The 24,520-nt window shown below is 40.8% G+C and overlaps 1 protein-coding gene across 9 annotated transcripts in view, besides 3 other annotated features; it reads right to left on the minus strand.

Moving 5' to 3' along the window:
- Nucleotides 1-12,623, minus strand: part of KLHL12 (kelch like family member 12) — a 37,480-nt gene extending 24,857 nt beyond the window's left edge. For 4 of the 9 annotated variants that reach the window (XM_047426918.1, XM_011509837.3, XM_011509836.3 and 1 more), the window contains exons 1-5: nt 12,505-12,623; nt 11,489-11,539; nt 8,992-9,231; nt 3,779-3,932; nt 2,195-2,412 (exon numbers count right to left, since the gene is read on the minus strand). In XM_047426918.1, the coding sequence (XP_047282874.1) occupies nt 2,195-2,412; nt 3,779-3,932; nt 8,992-9,231; nt 11,489-11,539; nt 12,505-12,573 (732 nt within the window). In that variant the 5' untranslated portion in view covers nt 12,574-12,623. Of the gene's footprint in view, nt 1-2,194; nt 2,413-3,778; nt 3,933-8,991; nt 9,232-11,112; nt 11,259-11,488; nt 11,540-12,504 lie in introns of those variants that run through there. The other 5 variants (XM_047426919.1, NM_001303109.2, XM_017001995.3 and 2 more) reach the window with 2 other exon arrangements.
- Nucleotides 11,401-11,450: an enhancer, noted in NCBI's record as "active region_2338". NCBI's record gives its function as "activates an Ori minimal core promoter by ATAC-STARR-seq in GM12878 lymphoblastoid cells {active_cell/tissue: GM12878}" and the evidence as "EXISTENCE:reporter gene assay evidence [ECO:0000049][PMID:35858748]".
- Nucleotides 12,527-13,028: an enhancer, noted in NCBI's record as "H3K4me1 hESC enhancer chr1:202897631-202898132 (GRCh37/hg19 assembly coordinates)". NCBI's record gives its function as "activates a minimal SCP1, AML or CMV promoter by ChIP-STARR-seq in primed H9 embryonic stem cells {active_cell/tissue: H9 hESC(primed)}" and the evidence as "EXISTENCE:reporter gene assay evidence [ECO:0000049][PMID:30033119]".
- Nucleotides 13,029-13,528: an enhancer, noted in NCBI's record as "H3K4me1 hESC enhancer chr1:202898133-202898632 (GRCh37/hg19 assembly coordinates)". NCBI's record gives its function as "activates a minimal SCP1, AML or CMV promoter by ChIP-STARR-seq in primed H9 embryonic stem cells {active_cell/tissue: H9 hESC(primed)}" and the evidence as "EXISTENCE:reporter gene assay evidence [ECO:0000049][PMID:30033119]".

Consider the following 24,520-nt stretch of genomic DNA (forward strand, 5'->3'; position numbering starts at 1 on the left):
ATATGTAGTGAACGTCAAATCTGTAGTGCTCATTCTATTCATTGTATTTTCCAATATGTGTACAAATCAAGAAAAATCAAGATATTCTAGTGAATTGCCAGTTTCCAAGTCTGATGAATATGTTTTTTGGCTATGCCTGCCACTTCAGCACAAGGATACAATGTCCTACACTAAGAGGCTGAGAACTAAGATTTTAGCAAATTCTTGACTCAATAGCATTTGCAACAGCAGCTTCTCTGGGCTGATACAGAGCCCAGTATGTCAGGCTGGAAAATAATTCCTCTACAGTTGGAACCAATGTGACCAATGTGCTCTAATCCATTTTCCCTCAGAACAGTCACTAGAGAAAGGTGTAAAGAAACACTTGGCTAAAATTTGATAAGAAATATACTTAAGGCCAGGAGCCGTGGCTCACACTTATAATCTCAGCATTTTAGGAGGCTGAAGTGGCTGATGTCAGGAGTTCCAGAGCAGCCTGGCCACAATAGTGAAACTCCGTCTCTGCTAAAAATACAAAAATTAGCTGGTGTAGTGGTGGGCGCCTGTAGTCCCAGCTACCTGGGAGGCCGAGGCAGGAGAATCACTTGAACCCAGAAGGTGAAGGTTACAGTGAGCTGAGATCACACCACTGCACTCCAGCCTGGAAGAAGTATACTTAAGACCTGTTATTATATTACACAAATATCCTAGTTTTAACAAAATAAATCAGGAGAGAGTAATCATTTAGTTTATGGAAGTATATTAGAGGCTTTCTTTAAATGGTATTGCCTGAGCCTAGCATTGCTTGAGCCTAGCAGTTCAAGACCAGCCTGGGCAACACAGCGAGACCCCATCTCAACAAAAATTTTAAAAAATTAGCCCGGTGTGGTGATGTGCAGTTCCAGCTACACAGGAGGATGAGGTGGGAGAGCTGCTTGAGCTCAGACATCCAGGCTGCAGTGAGCCATAATTGCATCACTGCACTCCAGCCTGGGTGACAGAGTGAGACCATCTCAGAAGAAAAAAAAAAAAAATTAAAGAATTGGACCACTGGAGATCAATACTATGGGCTTCAAAGACATCTAATAACTATATTGGACTTCTCACTCCAATTCTCAGCCTAACTACAAACCTATATGCAATAAAACTCTGCTACTGGTACTCTGATTTAGAATTAGGATTGACTTTTCTTCTGTGTAGGTTAAGTCACTGAATGCCTGCCTGGCACAGGTAGTATCCCCCTGGTAGGTGAAGTATTATTCCTTCTTCCCCCGCAAGAGACAGGGTCTCCCTCTGTTGCCTAGGCTAGAGTGCAGTGGTGCGATCATGGCTCACTGCAGCCTCAAACTCCCAGGCTCCAGAGATCCTCCCACCTCAGCCTCTCAAGTAGCTGGGACCACAGGTGCTCACCACCATGCCAGGCTAATTTTATTTTTTTGTAGAGACAGGGTTTTGCCATGTTGCCCAGGCTAGTATCAAACTCCTGGACACAAGCAGTTCTGCCTCAGCCTCCCAAAGTGCTGGGATTACAGGCATAGGCCACTGCACCTGGCCTACTATTCCTTTAACATCCAGTTCATGTGTCCCTCCCTTCCAACCGCTGCATCCTCACAAGACAGTTATGATTTGGCTCCTGCTTCTGTAGATCCTCACTTCCAAACTTTTGTCTCTTCATTTCTGATCCACTCCTGAGCAAAGGTTTATTCTTCTTTCTTCTATGTAATGTCCTTACTTTGTATAGGCTCACTATTCTCATGATCCTCTTTATAACATTTTTTTTGTCTATATCTCTGTCTCTACTAGCAGGTTGTGAATTTTCTGAAAGCAAGAACTATATTTACCCACTTGGGGATCTGTAGCACCTGGCATAGTTAAGTGCTACATAGTAGATATTCTCAATAAATGTTTGTGAAATGAGTGAACGGGTAATAGAGAAGTGGTCTACAGATACCTACTTTACTTCCAATTTCTGCTTATTCTATACTCTGTTGAATAGTGATTCTTACCCACTGGGATCATATATCTAATTGAAGAAAGTGGCAAACTCCCTCTCCATAAAAATGCAAATAAATTTGGTACAGGAGGGGTTAATGAAATCTTTGAGCCAAAATGCACACTTAATTATGAAGCCCTGATGGTAAGTAACTGCATCCTATTTGCAAGTTTTGTAATTGCCCAATCTTGAAGAAACCATAACATCAAGACAAATCCGTACCTGAATTTCGTCGCACTTGATTAGCTTTTCCACCTCTCCTTGACTCAGAAGAATGAACTCTTCATGCTGTACCACTTCAGGAAAATGCTTCTGGCTAAAAACCTCAGCTGCTTGCATCAGGTCAACACAATTGTGGGTTTCAGCAAAATCCCTAATACCCAGGCAATTAGAAGGGTCCAACTGACTTTCTAAGAACTCACAGCAGGCTTGTTTCACACCTAGGACAGACACAGGCAGCAAACACTTTAGAATAGTTGGACAGGTGTGATCTAGGATATATTCTTGTATCTCAGCATCTTCTCTACATGTTATCAGATGAACCCTTGTTTCAACACCTAAGAAACAGATTAGAAATTCTATGCTTAAGGAACTTAAACTCTATTTCTGGCTTATGTACTGTGCCACTTTCAGCAAGACCTTTACACCTGTCTCTGCTTAATCTTTAAAATGAGTATTGCAAGATGAATCACATCCAGAGACCTGGCACAATTCAACAAAAATGCCTATAAAACTCTTGGGAATCAAACTATAAAACCAATTGCGAATTCAGCATAATGTATCCATTTTCTACTCTACATGAAAACTTACTAAAAGACTAGAGTGAAAGAAAAGGAGAAGATAGTAATAACAAATCTCATATTTATCTAATTGAAAAGTTCAGAGTATTTTAATGTTATGGCTATGCACTAATGCAAAAGCTTCACACTGTTTAAATCATGTATTAAAAACTAAAAGTGTGTCAATTATGTATATATAAAAACTGAAAACATAACTGAATGTTAAAAAAGAAAAACTGGGGACCAGGAACGGTGGCTCGTGCCTATAATTCCAGCATTCTGGGAGGCAAGGTGGGAGGATCACTCGAGCCCACGAGCTTGAGACCAGCCTGAGCAACATAGAGAGAACTCATCTCCACACAAAAAAATTTTGTTTTAATTAGCTGGGTGTGGTGGCATGCACCTGTGGTCCCAGCTACTCAGGAGGCTGAGGTGTGAGAATTGCTTGAGCCCAAGAATTCAAGGATACAGTGAGCTGTGATTGCACCACTGTGCTCTAATCTGGGTGACAGAGTGAGACTCTGTCTCAAAAACAAAACAAAAAACCTGGGAATTGTAAGGGAAAACAAACCACCTGTAATCCTGTGAAAATATCATACTTTAATATTTTGTGCATCAATTTAAATTTCATGTATCTTAATGAAATACTACCACTTAATGGCCAGATAGATAAAGAGTATCCATGTAGGCTATGTATAGTATCACTTTTTTATTATATTTCCTTATAGGTGTGTTACATACATGTATGTAAGAAAACACATAATTTCTCCTTCCTCCATTTTTTTTTTAAAACAGAAAAGGTGCAAATGCTCTCTTTTATAGAGCCAAATACTCATATCTGGAGAAGTTCCTTTATAGTGCTATTGACATCTGATCTCTTATTGCTCAATGAGACAAAAGCCATGGCCAGCAAACATGAACATCCATAGTTTGTCTCCAAAATGTTCATGATTAAGTTTACACTATTAATTTTCAACCTTTCCAGGGCTATTTTGACATAAACAATAGCAAGTTTTAATGTCTGTACCTTTCAACTGAAGCAGACAGGCTGCAGGAAGCAGTTCTTGTACATTCTCCACTGTCACATGTACTGTTTCTGTGTACACAAAGTCCAATAAAATTTCCATGGTAGAGGCAGTCAAACCTTGGATGTCAACATAAGGTTTCCCCTTCTCTGAGAGCTGAAAATTCAAAAGGTATAAAAGAATGATGGTTATAATTCCACAAGATAAAGGCAGAATCTCATATCTAAGAGCTTAGAGATGTTAATAATATTAATTGAACATTTATCTTTAAAAATTACAGGCCAGGCGTGGTGGCTCATGCCTGTAATCCCAGCACTTTGAGAGGCTAAGGCAGGCAAATCACCTGAGGTCAGGAATTCAAGACCAGCCTGGCCAACACAGTGAAACCCCGTCTCCACTAGAAATACAAAAATTAGTTGGGCATGGTGGCACATGCCTGTAGTCCCAGCTACTCAGGAGGCTGAGGCAGGAGAATTGCTTCAACCCAGGAGGCGAAGGTTGCAGAGAGCCAAGATTGTGCCACTCCACTCCAGCCTGGGCACCAGAGTGAGACTCCATTTCAAAAAAATAAAAAAGAAAGAAAATAAAAAAATAAAATTATGCTCTATTTTGTTGGATTTTTTTTTTTTTTTTTTTTTTTTTGAGACGGAATCTTGCACTGTTTCCCAGGCTGGAGTGCAGTGGTGCCATCTCGGCTCACTGCAAGCTCCACCTCCTGGGTTCATGCCATTCTCCTGGCTCAGCCTCCCGAGTAGTTTGGACTACAGGCGCCCGCCACCACGCCCGGCTAATTTTTTGTACTTTTAGTAGAGACGGGGTTTCACCGTGTTAGCCAGGATGGTCTCGATCTCCTCACCTCGTGATCCGCCTGCCTCAGCCTCCCAAAGTGCTGGGATTACAGGCGTGAGCCACCGCGCCCGGCCAATTTTGTTGGATTTTAATAAAGCAAATATGGCACATTATCTGTAGCTTTCCAAATGAAGTAGGTAGTTATCTATACGCCAGGAATAAGTAATAGGTAACACCTTCCTGGAATAGTAATTTTGCCAGTGAATAACTTTAAAAATCTATTTCATATTAAAATACAGATGTATTTACAGAATAGAATGCAAAAGTTCCATGAACATAACACTGGTCCGTGAACTTTTAAGATAAGACACAATATTTCAAAGAAATTTCATGTTCGTAGAGGAGCCTGTGGGTTATAACTCCAGTCTCTCCAGGACTACCTAGTTCCTATCATCTGTCCTTAGACTACTTTTTTTTCCCCTTTGTTGAGATAGGGTCTTGCTCTGTTCCCCAGGCTGGAGTGCAGTGGTGTGATCTCAGCTCACTGCAACCTCTGCCTCCCAGGTTCAAGTGTTTCTCGTGCCTCAGCCTCCCAAGTAGCTGGGATTACAGGAGTACACCACTACAACCAGCTAATTTTTTTTTTTTTTTTTGACACAGTCTTGCTCTGTTGCCCAGGCTGGAGTGCAGTGGCGTAATCTTGGCTCACTTCAAGCTCCACCTCCCAGGTTCAAGCGATTCTCCTGCCTCAGCCGCCTGAGTAGCTGGGACTACAGGCACATGCCACCATGCCTGGCTAATTTTTGTGTTTTTAGTAGAGATGGGGTTTCACCATGTTGGCCAGGCTGGTCTTGAACTCCTGACCTCAAGTGATCTGCCCACCTCAGCCTCTCAAAATGCTGGGATTACAGGCGTGAGCCACCATGCCCGGCCCTTAGACTGCATTTAGTAATGACGAAAAAGAACATGCAGGTCATCCTAAGGGACTTTCTTATGTAACATCATCTGAATACAAATAAATTATTTGTTACTTTTTCAAAATATTGGGTTAGACTAACTGAATTGTTAGCAGTATATTTAGTCTAAATTGTTAGTAGTATATCTTCTTGAAGCTATGAGTATTGATGAGGCCAGATAATCATAGAAAACTGTTTAGCTAAGAGAAGAAATCTTCAATTTTACAGGAAACTATCTGAAAATACCTTATGAAAATTTTACTAGATCTTAATCTTAGTTTAGAAATTCATTTTACTTAAAAAACTCTGGTGCATCTCCATTATTAACTAAATGGCTTTAACGTTTTTTATTTCTCCATCAGCCAGAGAATAACCAAAAAGCACTCTCTACCAAAGCCAAGAACAAAATCAATCCCTAACACTAAAAAAGTCACTAGCACATTATTTTGAAAAAACATATTAGGTTTTATTAACATTTAATACAGTACTAATATTCATAAACAATTACTATCCCAACACATTAAATGCATTTAATAATTATGGTACTGAAATATGTAAGTACATGTATTCCAGAAATTTCTCATTCAATAAACTACATTTCCATCAAATAGTTTAAATATGGAAACAATTTCACTATGTAAGAACTTAGAGCAATTATACATTTTACAGTTATATTTTGCTTTAGAATTTTTCAGCATGCTTCTCATTTACTACTATTTCATCTGATTCTCACAGCAACCTGGTAAGGTAGTTAGGTCTGATATTATTACTATCTAAGAGATAAAGGGGGGCCGGGCACATGGCTCAAGCCTGTAATCCCAGCACTTTGGGAGGCCGAGGTGGGTGGATCACAAGGTCAGGATATCGAGACCATCCTGGCTAACATGGTGAAACCCCGTCTCCACTAAAAATACAAAAAATTAGCCAGGCGTCAAGGAAAAAAAAAAAAAGAGAGAGCGATAAAGGGTCTAAAGATCAAAGAAGATCCAAGACTTTTTTTTTTTTTTGAGACAGAGTCTCGCTCTGTCACCCAGGCTGGAGTGCAGTGGCGTGATCTGGGCTCACTGCCAGCTCCGCCTCCCGGGTTCACGCCATTCTCCTGCCTCAGCCTCCCGAGTGGCTGGGACTACAGGCGCCCGCCACCACGCACGGCTAATTTTTTGTATTTTTAGTAGAGACGGGGTTTCACCGTGTTAGCCAGGATGGTCTTGATCTCCTGACCTCGTGATCCACCTGCTTCGGCCTCCCAAAGTGCTGGGATTACAGGCGTGAGCCACCACGCCCAGCTGAAGATCCAAGACTTAACCAGTCACTTAGCTAGTAAGAGACAGATATCATTCTTATTAAAGTATTTCAGGAAAAAAAAAAGAGAGAGAGAGAGAGACAAAACCCAGGTCCTCCTGCCTCAGTCTTTGTGATCTTTCAATCAGATGACATTTGAGGAGCATTTCATAGCTGAAGAGAACAAGGAAACCATCTAGTTCAACTACTTTATTTTACAGATCAACCCAGTGAAGTTAGATGGTTCCCAGGGTTTATACAGAATTGCTAAGAGAACTAAGCCTAGAATCCAGGTCTCTGGACTCTCTCCTTTGAACAATTACTCTCAAAAATAAAGACAAAACCATCTAGCATTTCCTTGCCTGATGTCAGTTTTTAAAGAAAGAAATCATCACTGATGAGAAAAAAAGAATTCATTTCCAAATAACAAAAGAGTAAAGACACTATTTTCAAGCTGACAAAAAACAGGATGCACAACATATAATTAGCAATCAGCCGTTCTAGTTCATTTCTTGCTCAGCAGCTGCTGGGTGACACTCTCTTTACCCAGTTAAATTCCAAATGCTTCTGATGATCTTGGGTATATCTCATGGAGAACAGTATAGGACAGGGATCTGCCTTGGTATATCACACAAGTTTATTTAAAAATTAGCCTGAATTAGTTGGAATGACCTGTCAGGTTCCTGTTTTCCCTACTAGCCATGTGACTGAGCATTGGCTCATAGTATTTTTAACTATACCAGTTTTAAAATTAGATTGTAGTATATAAAATTCATACTTCGGAGGCTAAGGCGGCACAAGAGTTACAAACTGTTTGGGCTTTAGAGTTGGAAAATATAAAATGAAATCCCACCTCTAGCACTTACAAGCCATGGGACTTTGGGCAAGTGATTTAATATCTGAAACCCTATTCCTTCATTTGTAAAATGAGATGGTAATACCTACCCCTAGGGTGAGTCAGATATGCACAACAATTACTAGCACAGTACCTGGCCCATAAAAGGTAGTTATTACCATCACAGAATACGCCTCTCCCATTCTGATTCAGCAGCAATATCTACACTAAGATGATAGAACTAACTAAAAAAAAAACAAAAAACAAACAAAAAACTTGTGCTTAAAAAGACTTTTAAAACAGTGTTTTCATAATGAAATATTTCAGGCATACATGTAAGTGTAAATTATATAATAAACAGTGATGCACCCACAACTGAGCTTTGAAAAAATAAATCAAGATAATTTATTTAAATCTGCTCTTAAAATGAGACTTGGGATCTTGAAAAACAAAGATTTGCAATGTTATTTTCTGTTCAGCTTTCTAAGAATATTCAACACAATATATTCAGCAGCCTTACTATACATTTCAAGTATTTTGTCAGGCAATTACTAAGTAGTGTTTCTTAATACTTTGTGAGCACTACCTGTATTCTCTCAAGCCAACCTTTTCCTAATTCCCTTTGTTAAGTGCTTATGAGTTAACATCCTTTCTCAGGTTATACACTCAACGCCTGTACAGCTATTCATTAAAAACTCTTCTTCCTTTCATTTGAAGTTATCCTAAAATTTACACTGATTTTCTTCACATATTGTTAGGAGGAGTGGGATGTGGTTTGAATCCTACTCCTCTCTCCTTCCTTCCTCCTTATCCCTCTGGTATTCACTTAAAAATTTTTAAACTTTAGAAGGAAAAAAGGCTGGATGCCGTGGCTCACACCTGTAATGCCAGGTGTGGCCACTCTGGGAGGCCAAGGCAGGAGGATTGCTTGAGCCCAGGAGTTCAAGACCAGCGTGGGCAACATAGTGAGACCCTGTCTCTACAAATAAATAAATAAAATTAAAAACAAAAAAAGGAGAAAAATTGGAAGACAAATTTAAGAAATAGTAAAATCCAATAGCTGACATGTGTGTTTTACTACATATTACACTATTCTAAGCACTTCCTATGTTATTTCATAAAATAATCTTCACAACAACCTTAATAACCATGTGTTACATATTACTATTATCCCTAACTTAAAGATGAGGAAACTAAGGCATAGTCATCTAAGTGGTAGATCTTATCCAGAATCTGCCAAAACATCACACTGTAAAAATTCAAAATTATATCAAACTTCCACTATTTTATTCAGTGAAATTAGACAACTAGAGTTCCACGGGTTTCATTTGTGTGGGGCTAATTTACCACTTACCTCACTAGTGAACATGGCACAGAAGTAATCACTACAGGCAGCCAGCACAATCCGATGGGCAGGGAAGTCTTTCTGCTCTACTCTCAATGTCACATCACAGAGGGTATTGCTCTTCCTGAGGGAGTTCATTGAATTGAGGATGGATTTAGCATGAGTATTTGTCATTATGTCTTTGGGGGCCATAATGCCTCCCATAAAGCAGTGCGGAGAAAGAACAAAATGGGTCCTTGGATTCTGCAACTACAAGAGGGAAAAAAAAACAATGAGCATATTCAAAGAACTAGGGCAACTGAACATATTTAATTAGCTTTACAAATTAAGAACCTAAGAGGCTTCCTCAGACCCAAACATACACAAGTTGAGGGCACTCCTATGCCTGGCATCACCACCAACCACTAGCCACTATCTAGTCCATGTAAAAGCTCTCTCTTCTTCCTCTGAATTCCTCTATCACGGAGTGTCCCTACCACTTGACATTTAATATGATCAATGCTGAAATGTAAGTAGAGATAAACAATATATGTCTTGTAAATCTTGACAAGGTTCTTGTCTCAAATGATAAACCGAAAATATAAAATTTCTTAAAGGTGTTATATTATTACTATTTAATGTCCTTAAGTAGATAAGTATTTAGAGCATACATAAAAAGAGGATCCTGCTTTATATGTATGCTTTCTATCCTAGAAGTTGCACAATAAATGTTTAGAATTTAATGTAAGAAAAAGTGTGTATTCAACTTCAACTTAGAGCAAGAAAGGCCACTCAGTAAAAATAAACTTTTTTCTAAAGAAGTATCCAAATGATATGTCTGATGACTTCCAAACATATCTGGATTTCTTCTTAAAATGAAACTTCAGGCCGGGCCCAACAGCTCACTCCTGTAATCCCAGCACTTTAGGAGGCTGAGGTGGGTGATCAGTTGAGGTCAGGAGTTTGAGAGCAGCCTGGCCAACATGGTGAAACCTAGTCTCTACTAAAAATACAAAAAATAGCCAGGCGTGGTGATGCGCGCCTATAATCCTAGCTACCAAGAAGGCTGAGGCCCGAGAATCACTTGAACCCAGGAGGTGGAGGTTGCAGTGAGCCGAGATCACACCACTGCACTCCAGCCTGGGCAACAGAGCGAGACTCTGTCTCAAAAAAAAAAAAAAAAAAAGAAACTTCAATTGAGGACCCATTACCTACACTGAATAATGGAAACCACGCAAGTTATCGATGGACTTACACTTGCTTAAGATATTGAAGCTCTTCAACAAGAGGGTATTCCTACTCTACATCTGTGAATGTCCATTACTGTTAAAGAATCGATATTGGAATCCAAAACTTTCTGAAATGATCCGGGGGGAAGGAAATCAAACTGTGGTCTCCAAAAGTCCACAAGTCACAATTAATCTTTCAACAGGAAAAATGAGATCCTAAATTCTCATCTACTTCTGTTTGTAGTTGGCATTTTACTCTATAAGCACTATAGATAATTCCTCCAACAACTCTGCAAGACCCATTTTACAGAAAAGCGGGTGATTCATCAAAGCATATGTTTTTCAAAAAGACTTAAGTCAACTTAGTTGCAACTCTAGGGGTGTAAAAAGGTCTAGAACAAATGTCCATTTACTATGAAGACAGCCCGGGGGGTCTTTTATCGTTTCCGTGTCAAAATGACAGTACCCCGGTGCAGAGTGGTCTTCCTTCTAGGGGATTCCTGCCTCAACACTCCAAGTCTCAGCATATCCTTCATCCTCACCCTTCTGAAGTGACCTATTTTCTAGAACTTTCGTTAACATCTGAATGGAGGGATTCCACTTCGGGAGATTCGGGGCAGGGAATGGGTAGTAAACTCGGGAAAGACTAAATTCTAGAGAAGGAAACGAAGTCCTTCCTCCTAATACCACCAGGCATATGGCCGCCACCGCCAGGTGGAGGTATCGGAGAGGGGCAGTTCAGGGGGAGAGTTGAGAGGGTGACCGAGGCCAGATGCCCCACCCCACTGCCAGCCTTCCTCCTCTGTTGGGCATGTCTCCCATTCCGCCTTGCAGGGAGACCAAGGATGGGGGGTAGGGCCATAACCCGGAGTTGACGGACAGGAAGGGAAGGGCTGACTGCCATCACTTCCGCGCAACTCACCTCCGCTCCCGAACCCACACAGCCGCACCGGGCCCGTCCCCAGCCTGTGGGGATGGAGTGCGGCGCGGGGCTAGCAGGCGGCTCGGGAGGAGCCGAAGCGCCGCCCAGACCCGGAGGCTCTGGAGGCTCTGGAGCCGTCCGGGTCTGGCCCCTGCGGCCGCGCGACGTGATGACGCAATGCAGCTGGAGCACCGCCCTCCCCCCGCTCCAGAGTCTGCGTCACGTGAGGAGGTGGTGTCACGTGACCTGTCTGTACCCTAGCGCGGGGCTTCTGTACGCTGCTAGGAAGCCGAATTACAAAAAGGTCGGGTGGGCAGGGAATGGTGGCTCACGCCTATAATCCCGGCACTTTGGCAGGCCGAGGCGAGCGAATTACCTGAGCTCCGGAGTTCCAGACCCGCCTGGGGATCACGGCAAAACCCCGTTTCTACAAAAAAAAAAAAAAAAAAAAAATTAGCCCGCACCGCGCCTGTAGTCCCAGCTACTCGAGAGGCTGACAGGAGGATCACTTGAGCCAGGCAGCAGAGGTTGCAGTGAGCCAGGATCGCCACTGCACTCCAGCCTGGGCCACAGAATGAGACCCTGTAAAAAAAAAAAAAAAAAAAAAATGTCCAGGCGTGGTGGCTCACGCCTGTAATCCCGGCACTTTGGGAGGCCGAGGCGGGTGTATTACTTGAGGTCAGGAGTTCGAGACCAGCCTGGCCAACATGGTGAAACCCTATCTCTACTGAAAATACAAAAAAATTAGCCGGGCGTTGTGGCACGCGCCTGTAATCCCAACTACTCAGGAGGCTAATGCAGGAGAATCGCTAGAACCTGGGAGGCGGAGGTTGCTGAGCCGAGATCGCGCCATTGCACTCCGGGCTGGGCGACCGACTGAGACTCTGTCTCTTAAAAAAAAAAAAAAAAGGCCAGGCGAGGTGGCTCACGCCTGTAATCCCAGCACTTTGGGAGGCCGAGACGGGTGGATCACGAGGTCAGGAGATCGATTCTGGCTAACACGGTGAAACCCCGTCTCCACTAAAAATACAAAAAAATTGGCTGGGCGTAGTGGCGGGCGCCAGTAGTCCCAGCTACTCGGGAAGCTGAGGCAGGAGAATGGCGTGAACCCGGGAGGCGGAGGTTGCAGTGAGCTGAGATCGCGCCACTGTACTCCAGCCTGGGCGACAGAGCAAGACTCCGTCTCAAAAAAAAAAAAAAGAAAAAAGAAAAAAAAGAAAAAACAAAAAAAAGGCTGGATGTTGTGGGGTCCGGCAGGGAGCCTGGGAATGTATCTACAGCTCGGCGATTGGCTGAGCCTGAGTTCCTCCCTACCGCTCACTAGGCAGGGCAGGCAGAGAGAATTCCAACGCTTAATATGCCAAGCATCTGATTGCAGCAAGTATGTTTTACCTTCCAGGTACTGAGGAACTTTTTGACATCGAGAAAACCCACAGAGGCCTCAAATTTATTCACGTCCATTGTCCACAATGGCCTTTTCGGGCCGAACAACGCTGCGGCGAGAATCCTCTGAGCCTTAGGATCCACAGACCTCAGTATATACTCTGCATCATAATGGGCCCTGTCATCACCACTGAATTGATTCTAAGGAAATTCTAATTGATTCAGGAAATTCTAATTTATTTTGGTGCACTTAGTGACTGAAAAGGCAAAAAGCTTAATTAGTTCAGCTTATCTGAATGTCTAGACAAATTGTGTTTGGTAATACTATTATGCTCTGTGAGCCCTTTGATTCTTTTTTTTTTTTTTTTTTTTTTTTGAGACGGACTCTTGCTCTGTCGCCGAGGCTCGAGTGCACTGGCGCGATCTCAGCTCACTGCAACCTCCGCCTCCCGGGTTCAAGCAATTCTCCTGCCTCAGCCTCTCCGAGTAGCTGGGAGTACAGGTGCACACCACCACGCCCGACTAATTTTTGTGTTTTTAATAGAGACGGTGTTTCGCCATCTTGGCCGGGCTGGTCTCGAATTCCTGACCTCGTGATCCGCCCGCCTTGGCCTCCTAAAGTGCTGGGATTACAGGCGTCAGCCACAGCGCCTAGCCCTTTGATTCTTAAGGGTACTAAAACCATAGCCAAGTGGGTAGCATTCTAAATTTACAACGTGTCCCCATCTTCCATGTCATACCTTCCTGATCTAAAACTGTCCCTGACTCACACATTGTAGAGAAGAATGCAAGATTGGTATATTATTGGGGGCATTTTGGAAATATTCGTCGATTTTAATAAAATTTTCCTTCACATATACTCGTGCACATGTAAAACGATGTATGTACAAGATTGTTAACTGCAGCATTGTTTGTAGATTAGATCAACAACAACATTAAATGTCCATTAATAGGGGACTGATTCAATAAGGTATAGTACATCCATAAAATCCAATACCATGAAGCTGTGAACAATTTATATACTCTATTATTGGTGTAAAAAGGTGGAAGATATATTCATATTTGCTTGTGTATGTGTAACATGTATTTGAAAAGACAAAGTGGTAACCTTGGTTTCTTTGGGGAAAGGAACTGTTTGGTTGTGAGACAGGGTGGGAAGGAGATTTTTGCTCTTTGTAATTTATTTTGCCTTTTGAATTTTGCTTCATATGAATTAAAAATAATGTTCAGAGCCTGGTGCGGTGGTGTACACCTACCTGTTGTCCTATCTGCTTTGGAGACTGAAGCAGGAAGATTGCTTGAGCCCCGAAGTTCGTGACCAGCCTGGGCAACGTAGCAAGAGCACGCCTCAAAATATATTTATATGTTCAATTTTTTAAAAAGTAAAAATAGGCTGGGCACAGTGGCTCACGCCTGTAATCCTAACACTTCGAGAGGCCGAGGCGGGCGGATCACCTGAGGTCAGGAGTTCCAGACTGGCCTGGCCAACGTGGCAAAACCCCGTCACTACTAAAAATAAAAAAATTAGCCAGTCATGGTGGCCTGCGCCTGAAATCCCAGCTACTCAGGAGGCTGAGGCCGGAGAATCGCTTGAACCCAGGGAGCAGAGGTTGCAGTGAGCTGAGATCACGCCACTGCACTCCAGCCTGGGCAACAGAGCAAGGCTCCATCTCAAATAAATAAATAAATTAATTAAATTAAATAAAAAGTAAAAATAATTCCTTGTTTTCAGGATGTAAAATAGTACTTTAATGATATTGCCTAATTCCTGACTGTTAAATTAAGGATTTTTCCAAATATGAGAAGGAACTTAATAATAAAAGAGGCTTTGTTTAGAGTATGCCTACTCCTTTTATTCACAAAATAAAAGATGGAGAAGTTGTTAGCAAGATTATCACACCAAAGGAACTAGTTCAGACTTCTGACTTTTTTCTTCTTTTATTTCCTCTTTTTTGTTAATATTTGTCGGTACATAGTAGGTGTATATATTTAGGGGGTACAGAGGGATTTTGATACAGGCATATAATGTGTACTAATCACATCACAGAAAGTTGGGTATCCATCCCCTCAAGCGTTTATCCTTTGTGTTAAAACAATCCAAGTATACTTTTAGTTATTTTAAAATGTACAATTCAATTATTATTGACTATACTTACCCTGTTCTATCAAATACTAGGTCTTATTCATTCTTTCTAGTTTTTCGGTACCCGTTACCCTCCCCACCTTCCCCCAACCCCCACTGTCCTTCCCAGCCTCTGGTAATCATCCTTCTACTCTCTATCTTTGTGAGTTCAATTGGTTGGTTTTTAGATCCCACAAATCAGTGAGAACATGCGATGCTTGTCTTTCTGTGCCTGGTTTATTTCACTTAACATAATGACCTTCAGTTTGATTCATGTTGCTGCAAATGACAGAATCTCATTATTTTTAATGACTGAATAGTACTCCATCATGAATAAGTACCACATTTTCTTTATCCATTCATCTGTTGATGGACACTTGGGTTGCTTCCAAATCTTAGCTATTGTGAACACTGCTGCAACAAACATGGGAGTGCAGATATCTCTATGATACACTGATTTACTTTCTTTTCTTTTTTTTGAGACAGAGTCTCACTCTGTTGCCCATGCTGGAGTGCAGTGGTGTGATCTCGGCTCACTGTAACCTCCGCCTCCCAGGTTCAAGCAATTTTTCTGCCTCAGCCTCCCAAGTAGCTGGGACTACAGGTGCAGGCCACCATGCCTGGCTAATTTTTGTATTTTTAGTAGAGACAAGGTTTCACATATTGGCCAGGCTGGTCTCAAACTCCTGACCTCATGATCTGCCCACCTCAGCCTCCCAAAGTGCTGGGATTACAGGCATGAGCCACCACACACAGTTGATTTACTTTCTTTTGGGTATATACACAGTAGTTGGATTGCTGGATTGTATGGTAGTTCTAGATTTAGTTTTCTGAGGCGCCTCCAAACTGTTCTCCATAGTGGTTGCACTAATTTACATTTCCACCAATAGTGTACAAGGGTTCCCTTTTCTCCACATTGTTGCCAGCATTTGTTATTGCCTGACTTCTGCATAAAAGCCATTTTAACTGGGATGAGATGATATCTCATGTAATTTTGATTTGCATTTCTCTGATTAATTATGTTGAGCACCTCTTCTTATGCCTGTTTACCATTTTTATGTCTTTTTTTGAGAAATGTCTAAATATTTTGCCCAACTTTTATTTTTTAAATATTTATTTATTTATTTTGAGACAGGGTGTTATTCTGTCACCCAGACTGGAGTGCAGTGGTACGATCTCGGCTCACTGCAACTGCTACTCCTCAATGCTGGGCTCTAGCGATCCTCCCACCTTAGTCTCCTGAGTAGCTAGTATTGCGGATGCATGCCACCATGCTCTGTTAATTAAAAAAAAAATTATTTTTTATGAGAAGAGGTCTCACTATATTGCCCAGACTGGTCTGGAACTCTGGACTAAGCAATCCACCTGCCTCAGCCTCCCAAAGTTGGGATTACAGGTGTGAGCCACTGCACCTGGCCTTAACCAGATATAATCAGATTATTAGATTTTTTTCTATAGAGTTGTTTGAGCCCCTTATATATTCTAGTTATTCATCCCTTATCAGATGGGTAATTTGAAAATATTTTCTCCCATTCTGTGGATTGTCTCTTCACTTTATTGATGGTTTCCTTTGCTGTGCAGAATCTTGTTAACTTGATGGGATCCCATTTGCCCATTTTTGCTTTGGTTTCTTGTATTCATGCAGTATTACTCAAGAAATTTTTTCCAACCCCACTGGAAACAAGAATCTTTAAAAAAAAAAATAAAGAAATTTTTGCCCAGACCAATGTCCTGGAGATTTTCCCCAAAGTTTTCTTATAGTGGTTTCATAGTTTGAGGTCTTAGATTTAAGTCTTTAATCCATGTTGATTTGATTTTTGCATATGGTGAGAGATAGGGGTCTAGTTTCATTCTTTTGCATGTGGATATCCAGTTCCCCCAATACCATTTATTGAAGAGACTCTTTTTCCCAGTGTATGTTCTTTGGCAGCTTTGTCGAAAATGAATTCATCATAGGTATGCGGATTTGTTTCTGGATTCTCTGTTGTGTTCCATTGTTCTCTCTGTGTGTTTTTATGACAGTACCATGCTGTTTTGGTTACTATAGCTCTGTAGTATAATTTGAAGTCAGGTAATGTGATTTGTCCCATTTTATTCTTTTTGCTCAGGATAGATTTGGCTACTCTAGGTCTTTTGTGCTTTCATATACATTTGAGGATTGTTTATGTTTCTGTGAAGAATGTTACTGGTATTTTAGAGATTGCATTGAATCTGTAGATTGCTTTGGGTAATATGGACATTTTAACAATATTGATTCTCCCAATCCATGAACATGGAATATCTTTTTATTTTTTGATGTTTTCTTCAATTTCTTTCATCAGTGTTTTATAGTTTTCATTGTAGAGATTTTTTATTTCTTTTTCTTTTTTTTTTTTTGAGATGGAGTCTTACTCTGTTGCCCAGGCTGGAGTGCAGTGGCATGATCTCGGACTACAAGCTCCGCCTCCCGGGTTCACACCATTCTCCTGCTTCAGCCTCCCAAGTAGCTGGGACTACAGGTGCCCACCACCGTGTTAGCCAGGGTGGTCTCGATCTCCTGACCTTGTGATCCACCCGCCTCGGCCTCCCAAAGTTCTGGGATTACAGGCATGAGCCACCGTGCCCGGCCAAGATTTTTTATTTCTTTGGTTAATTCCTTGGTATTTAATTTGTGGTTATTGCAAATAGGATTACTTTTTTTTATTTATTTTTCAGATTGCTTGCTGTTGGCATATAGAAATGCTACTGATTTTTGTATGTTGATTTTGTATCTTGAGACTTTACTGAATTTATCAGTTCTAATAGTTTTTTGGTGGAGTCTTTAGGTTTTTCCAAATGTAAGATCATGTCATCTGCACGCAAAGATAATTTGACTTTTTCCTTTCCAATTTGGATGGCTTTATTTCTTTTTCTTGTCTGATTGCTCTAACTAGGACTTCCAGTACTATATTGAATAACAGTGGTGAAAGTGGGCATCTTTTCAGGTTCCAGATCTAAGAGGAAAGGCTCTCAGTTCGATACAAGCTGTAGGTCTGTCATATACAGCTTTTATTATATTGAGGTATGTTCCTTCTATCCTTAGTCTTTTGACAGTTTTTATCATGAAGGGATGTTAAACTTTATCAAATGCTTTTTCAGCATTAATTGGAAGGATCATATGATTTCATTCTGTTGACATGATATATCACATTGACTGATTTGCATATGTTGAATCATCCTTGCATCCCTTGGAAAATCCCACTTGGTCATGATGAATGATCTTTTTAATGTATTGTTGAATTAGGTTTGAAAGTATTTTGTTAAGAATGTTTGCATCAATATTCATCAGATATGTTGGCCTGTAGTTTTCTTTCTTTCTTTCTTTCTTTCTTTCTTTCTTTCTTTCTTTCTTTCTTTCTTTTTTTTTTTTGATGTGTCTTTGTCTGGTTTTGGTATCAGGGTAATACTGGCCTTGTACAATGAGTTTGGAAGTATTCCCTTCTCCTCTATTTTTTGGAACAGTTTGAGTAGGCTTGGTATTACTCTCATTATAAATGTTTGGTAGAATTCAGCAGTGAAGCCGTCAGGTCCCAGGCTTTTCTTTACTGAGAGATTTTCTATTACAGATTTGATCTTGTTACTTCTTACTGGTCTGTCCAGGTTTTGGATTTCTTCATGGTTCAATCTTGGTAAGTTTTATGTGTCTAGGAATTTATCCATTTCTTCTAGGTTTTCCAATTTATTGGCATATAGTTGCTCATAGTAGCCATTTTTTTTTGTTTTGTTGATCTTTTGTATTGTTTCCTTCATTTCAAATTCATTTATTTCTGCTCTGATCTTTATTATTTCGTTTCTTCTACTAATTTTGGGCTCTGTTTGCTCTTGCTTTTCTAATTCTTTAAGATGCATCATTAGGTTTTTTATTTGAAGTTTTTCTTCTTTTTTGATGTAGACACTTTTAGCTATAAATTTCCTTCTTAGTACTGCTTTCACCATATCCTATAGGTTTTGGCATGTTGTCCTTCCATTATCATTTGTTTTAAGAAATTTTTCAATTTCCTTCTTGATTTCTTCATTGACCCACTGGTCATTCAGGAGCATGTTGTTTGATTTCCATGTGTTTATATAGTTTCCAAAACTCCTCTTGTTATTGATTTCTAGTTTTATTCCATTGCGGTCCGAGAAGATGCTTCATATTATTTCAATTTTTTTGAATCTTTTAAGACTTGTTTTGTGACCTAACATATAGTCTGTCCTTGAAAATGGTCCATATGCTGAGGATAAGAATGTGTATTCTGCAGCCACTGGATGAAATGTTCTGTAAATATCTATTAGGTTAATTTATTCTATAGTGCAGATTAAGTGCAATGTTTCTTTGTTGATAGTTGATATTCTGTCTGGGAGATCTGTCCAGTGCTGAAAGCGGAGTGTTGAAGTCTTCAGGTATTATTGTGTTGGGGCCTATCTCTGTCTGTAGCTCTAATAATATTTGCTTTATATACCTGGGTGCTTCAGTGTTAGATGCATATATGTTTACAAGCGTTATATCCTCTTGCTGAATTGTCCCGTTTATCACTATATAATGATCTTCTTTGTCTCTTCTTGTTTTTGTCTTAAAATCTATTTTCCTTTACATATAAGCATTTCCCCTAATAAAATCTTTGCACATATAATTTCATCTTAGCAAGTGCTTTCCTGAGAACTAGACTAACACACAGGACATCTGAGAATTTCTTTGGGTCCTATTCATTTGCAATAATCCAAGTTTACTAAAGTTCCCAAAGTTGCATTTTTTAAAAATTGAAAATGGGTGTTGTATTAGTCTGTTCTCTCACTGCTAACAAAGATATATCCCAGACTGGATAATTTATAAAGGAAAAAGGTGTGGTTTTTTTTTTTTTTTGAGATGGAATCTTACTCTGTTGACCAGGCTGGAGTGCAGTGGTGCAATCTCTGCTTGCTGCAACCTCCACCTCCCAGGTTCAAGCAATTCTCCTGCCTCATCCTCCCAAGTAGCTGGGATTACAGGCATGAGCCACCATGCCTGGCTGGTTTTTGTTTGTTTGTTTGAGACGGAGTCTCACTCTGTCGCCCAGGTTGGAGTGCAGTGGTGTAATCTTGGCTCACTGCAACCTCTGACTCCCAGGTTCAAGTGATTCTTGTGACTCACCCTCCTGAGTAGCTGGGATTACAGGTCTCTGCCACCACACCCGGCTAATTTTTTTGTGTTTTTAGTAGAGGTGGGGTTTCAGCATGTTGGCCAGGCTGGTACTGAACTCCTGACCTCAAGTGATCTGCCTGCCTCGGCCTCCCAAAGTGCTGGGATTATAGGCATAAGCCACCATGCCCAGCCAGGAAAGAGGTTTAAGTGGCTCACATTTCAGCATGCCTGGGGAGGCCTAGGGAAACTTACAATCATGGTGGAAGGGGAAGCAAACATGTCCTTTTTCACATGGCAAGAAATGCCAAGTAAAAAGGGGGAAACCCCTTATAAAACTATCAGCTCTCATGAGAATTGACTCACATGAGAACAGCATGAGTGTAACCACCCCCATGATTAAATTACCTCCCGCTGGATCCATCCCAGGACACATTGGGACTATGCGAACTATAATGCAAGATGAGATTTGGGTGAGGACACAGCCAAACCATATCAGATGGCTTATAGAACACACACACAGACACACACACACACCCCAAATTTAAAAAAAATAGGAAAATATATATTTTTAAATTTTATTATTATTATACTTTAAGTTTTAGGGTACATGTGCACAATGTGCAGGTTTGTTACATATGTGTACATGTGCCATGTTGGTGTGCTGTACCCATTAACTCGTCATTTAGCATTAGGCATATCTCCTAATGCTATCCCTCCCCCCTCCCCCCATCCCACAACAGTCCCCGAAGTGTGATGTTCCCCTTCCTGTGTCCATGTGTTCTCATTGTTCAATTCCCACCTATGAGTGAGAACATGCGGTGTTTGATTTTTTGTCCTTGCGATAGTTTGCTGAGAATGATGGTTTCCAGTTTCATCCACGTCCCTACAAAGGACATGAACTCATCATTTTTTATGGCTGCATAGTATTCCATGGTGTATATGTGCCACATTTTCTTAATCCAGTCTATCATTGTTGGACATTTGGGTTGGTTCCAAGTCTTTGCTATTGTGAATAGTGCCGCAATGAACATACGTGTGCATGTGTCTTTATAGCAGCATGATTTATAATCCTTTGGGTATATACCTAGTAATGGGATGGCTGGGTCAAATGGTATTTCTAGTTCTAGATCCCTGAGGAATCGTCACACTGACTTCCACAATGGTTGAACTAGTTTACAGTCCCACCAACAGTGTAAAAGTGTTCCAATTTCTCCACATCCTCTCCAGCACCTGTTGTTTCCTGACTTTTTAATGATCGCCATTCTAACTGGTGTGAGATGGTATCTCATTGTGGTTTTGATTTGCATTTCTCTGATGGCCAGTGATGGTGAGCATTTTTTCATGTGTTTTTTGGCTGCATAAATGTCTTCTTTTGAGAAGTGTCTGTTCATATCCTTCGCCCACTTTTTGATGGGGTTGTTTGTTTTTTTCTTGTAAATTCATTTGAGTTCGTTGTAGATTCTGGATATTAGCCCTTTGTGAAAATATTTTTTTAAAAGAAAATGGATGGCTTATAGAGATAAGTTAGGCTCTCCCCTATTTTTTGATTTACTGATAGGAAAAGGGGTAAAATCAGATTCTTAGCTTTTATGCTTTGCCTTTCTTTAATCCAAGCTCATCAGTGTTTTTGTCATTTGTTCTGTAATGCCTAGCACATAACAGGTCCTCAAGTATTTAGAAAGTAAGTGAATGAACCAGAAGTATGCAATTAGAGAAAGAAGGTAATAGTTACTTGCTGCTAGTTAGCAGTTCTGACAAAAGCAAGGGAAGATATTGAAAACATGAGCAAAAGGAATTTTTAAGTGATCTGAGTCTTTAGAACACGAGCTTTAAATGAGAATGACCTGGATTCAGATACTGGCTCCAAACCTGTCCATCACCTTAGGAAAAATTATTAGTTTCCTGGAGGGATCTGAATTTGCAGCCACTAGTATTGAACTGGAAGGAAACCTAGAGATCACACCTGATGTAACTCCATCCATTTTCTAGATGAGGCAATAAGCAGATTCATAGCAGCTGAAATCCAGTGTGGTCCTCAAATCTGTTAGGTGCTAGGCACTATGGAATAAGTAAATGACAAACACTGATGAACTGTGATTAAAGAAAGGCCGAGGCGGGCAGATCACTTGAGGTCAGGACTTCAAGACGAGCCCTGGCCAACATGGTGAAACCCCATCTCTACTAAAAATACAAAAATTAGCTGGGCATGGTGGCATGTGCCTGTAATCCCAGCTACTTGGGAGGCTGAGGCAGGAGAATCGCTTGAACCCCAGAGGCGGAGGTTGCAGTGAGCCGAGATTGCTCCATGGCACTCCAGCCTGGGCAACAGAGTGAGATTCTGTCTCAATTAAAAAAGAAAAAAAAAAAAAAAAAAAAAAAAGGAGGCCAAGAATGAAAACTGAGAATCTGATTCTATCCCTTTCCTATTAGTGAATGAAGAACTAGGGGAAAGACTAACTTATTTTCTAACTACATTTACTATGTATTCCACAGAGTCAACGATATAAAATGACATACCAAAAGTACCAAATAGGTGCCCAATAATGTTATCTCTTAGATCATCTTTCCCTGATCTTGTCTAGTACGGAGAAATGAAGAAACACACATTAGGTTGTTTTTTATTTTATTTTATTTTTTTAAGAGATAGGCTCTTGCTCTGTCACCCAGACTGGAGTGCAGTGGTGTGATCATAGCTCACTGCAGCCTCCAACTCCTGGACTCAAGCAATCCTCCCCCACACACTAGGCCTTCTCAACAGCTGTGGATCTCATTTCCTTATCTAGAAAATGGAGTTGGATCAGATATGATCCCTAGGTTTCCTTCCATTTCTTATACTAGCGGCTGCAAACCGAGATGCCTGCAGAGGCCAGCAGATGACTGCACTGAGACCATCACCCTAGGTAGGGACCATGATGAACTGGAGTGCACCAGCCTTCTATAAAGGACATACATAGCTGCTTTTGAGTAGCAGTTGATTGCTCTCACTGTGCAAGGCCAAACATGTCTACGGATGTTTTTGATGTACAGGTCATCAGTTTGTGACTTCTGCCAACAGTTCCTTAAGCATTTTTTAAGACTTAAAATGGTTTTGGATTAAACATATAAAACACTCATTGCATAAAGGCAGTGAGTATCACATGATCTTAGGCAAAAGGATCACGTAGGTGCTCACCACCTAACTTAAAATAACAAACTTTAAAGATTCTTAGTCCTTCAGAGGTAAACATTATTCTAAATTAACATTCCCTCTTTAAAGTTTTTACCATGTTTGTATCCTTAAACCTATCATTAATTTAGCAATTTTCTTAATTTTACATACATGCAATTATGCAAATGTATTCTGTTGCTTCCCTCCCTTCCTGCCGATCTTATTTCTGAGGCTCAACCATGTTGTTGCTTGTCACTGTAATTCATTTTCACCAGCAGTGTTTCGTTATATGAATACACCAAGATATAGTTTTCCATTCAACAGTTTGGGACATTTGGCTTGTTTGCAACATTTTGCTACTACAAACAGCTGCAATGAACCCTTTGGTACAAGCCAGGTTTTTCCAAGAGCGGTGTGTTTGAAAGCGTGAGTAGCGACCCATTACTGAGTCATGAGAACAATTTAGTGGGTCAGCCAGCACTGTTTTTAAGTGAAGTAACCTAGGTTAGATATCAGATGCATTTCATATTGTATAGTGTCATTTCACGAAATGTTTGAATGTTGTCAACATGTATACACTCTTTGTGTGTCCATGTAAAGTGGTCCTGCAATGTATACTTCCACCAGCAGCATCTGGTCTGCTCTACATCTGCACCAACACTCAATATTAGGCTTCTAATTTGGTTTCAGTCTGGTTGGAGTAAGACAGATTATCATTTTGGTTTTAATTTACATTTCCTTGGTTACTTGAGGCAGAGAAACTTTTCCTGTTGGTGTAGGTGGATTATTTTTTTAAAAGGATAATTTGTTCTTCCATTGTAGAAACTTGACTCTTGACATGAACCCAACTTTAACTCAAAAAGACTGCCCTTAAACTGCCTGCATTAGCTGAGAAGTGATTACTGATATCTTGCGCTATATAATGAACAGAACTCATGTCAGGTTGAGTACAATTCACAATAGCACCGAAAAGCATGGAATGACCCCTGGATGAGACAACCTTAGGCAACATGGGATATATCCCTAAACTTTGGGATGTATTCCAACACTTTTGATAATCTTCTAATTATTATTACTATACTTTTTTTTTTTTTTTTTTGAGGTGGAGTATCGCTCTGTCTCCCAGGCTGGAATGCAGCAGCATGATCTTGGCTCACTGCAACGTCCACCTACTGGGTTCAAGCAACAAGTAGCTGGGATTATACCTGCCCGCCACCATGCCCGGCTAATTTTTGTATTTTTAGTAGAGATGGGGTTTCACCATCTTGGCCAGGCTGGTCTTGAACTCCTGACCTCATAATCCACCCACCTCAGCCTCCCAAAGTGCTTGGATTAAAGGCGTGAGCCACTGCATCCAGTCTATTATTTTTTGAGACAGTCTTGCTCTGTTGCCCAGGCCAGAGTGCAGTGGTGTGATCCCAGCTCACTGCAACCTCCACCTCCCGGGTTCAAGTGATTCTCGTGCCTTACCCTCCCGAGTAGCTGGGATTATAGGCGCCCACCACCACGAGGCTAATTTTTGTATTTTTAGTAGAGATGGGGGTTTCACCATGTTGGCCAGGCTGGTCTCAAACTCCTGGCCTCAAGCAATCCACCCGCCTCAGACTCCCAAAGCGTTGGGATTACAGGCGTGAGC

Source organism: Homo sapiens, chromosome 1 (assembly GCF_000001405.40).
Source record: "Homo sapiens chromosome 1, GRCh38.p14 Primary Assembly".
NCBI classification, from domain to species: Eukaryota; Metazoa; Chordata; class Mammalia; order Primates; family Hominidae; genus Homo; species Homo sapiens.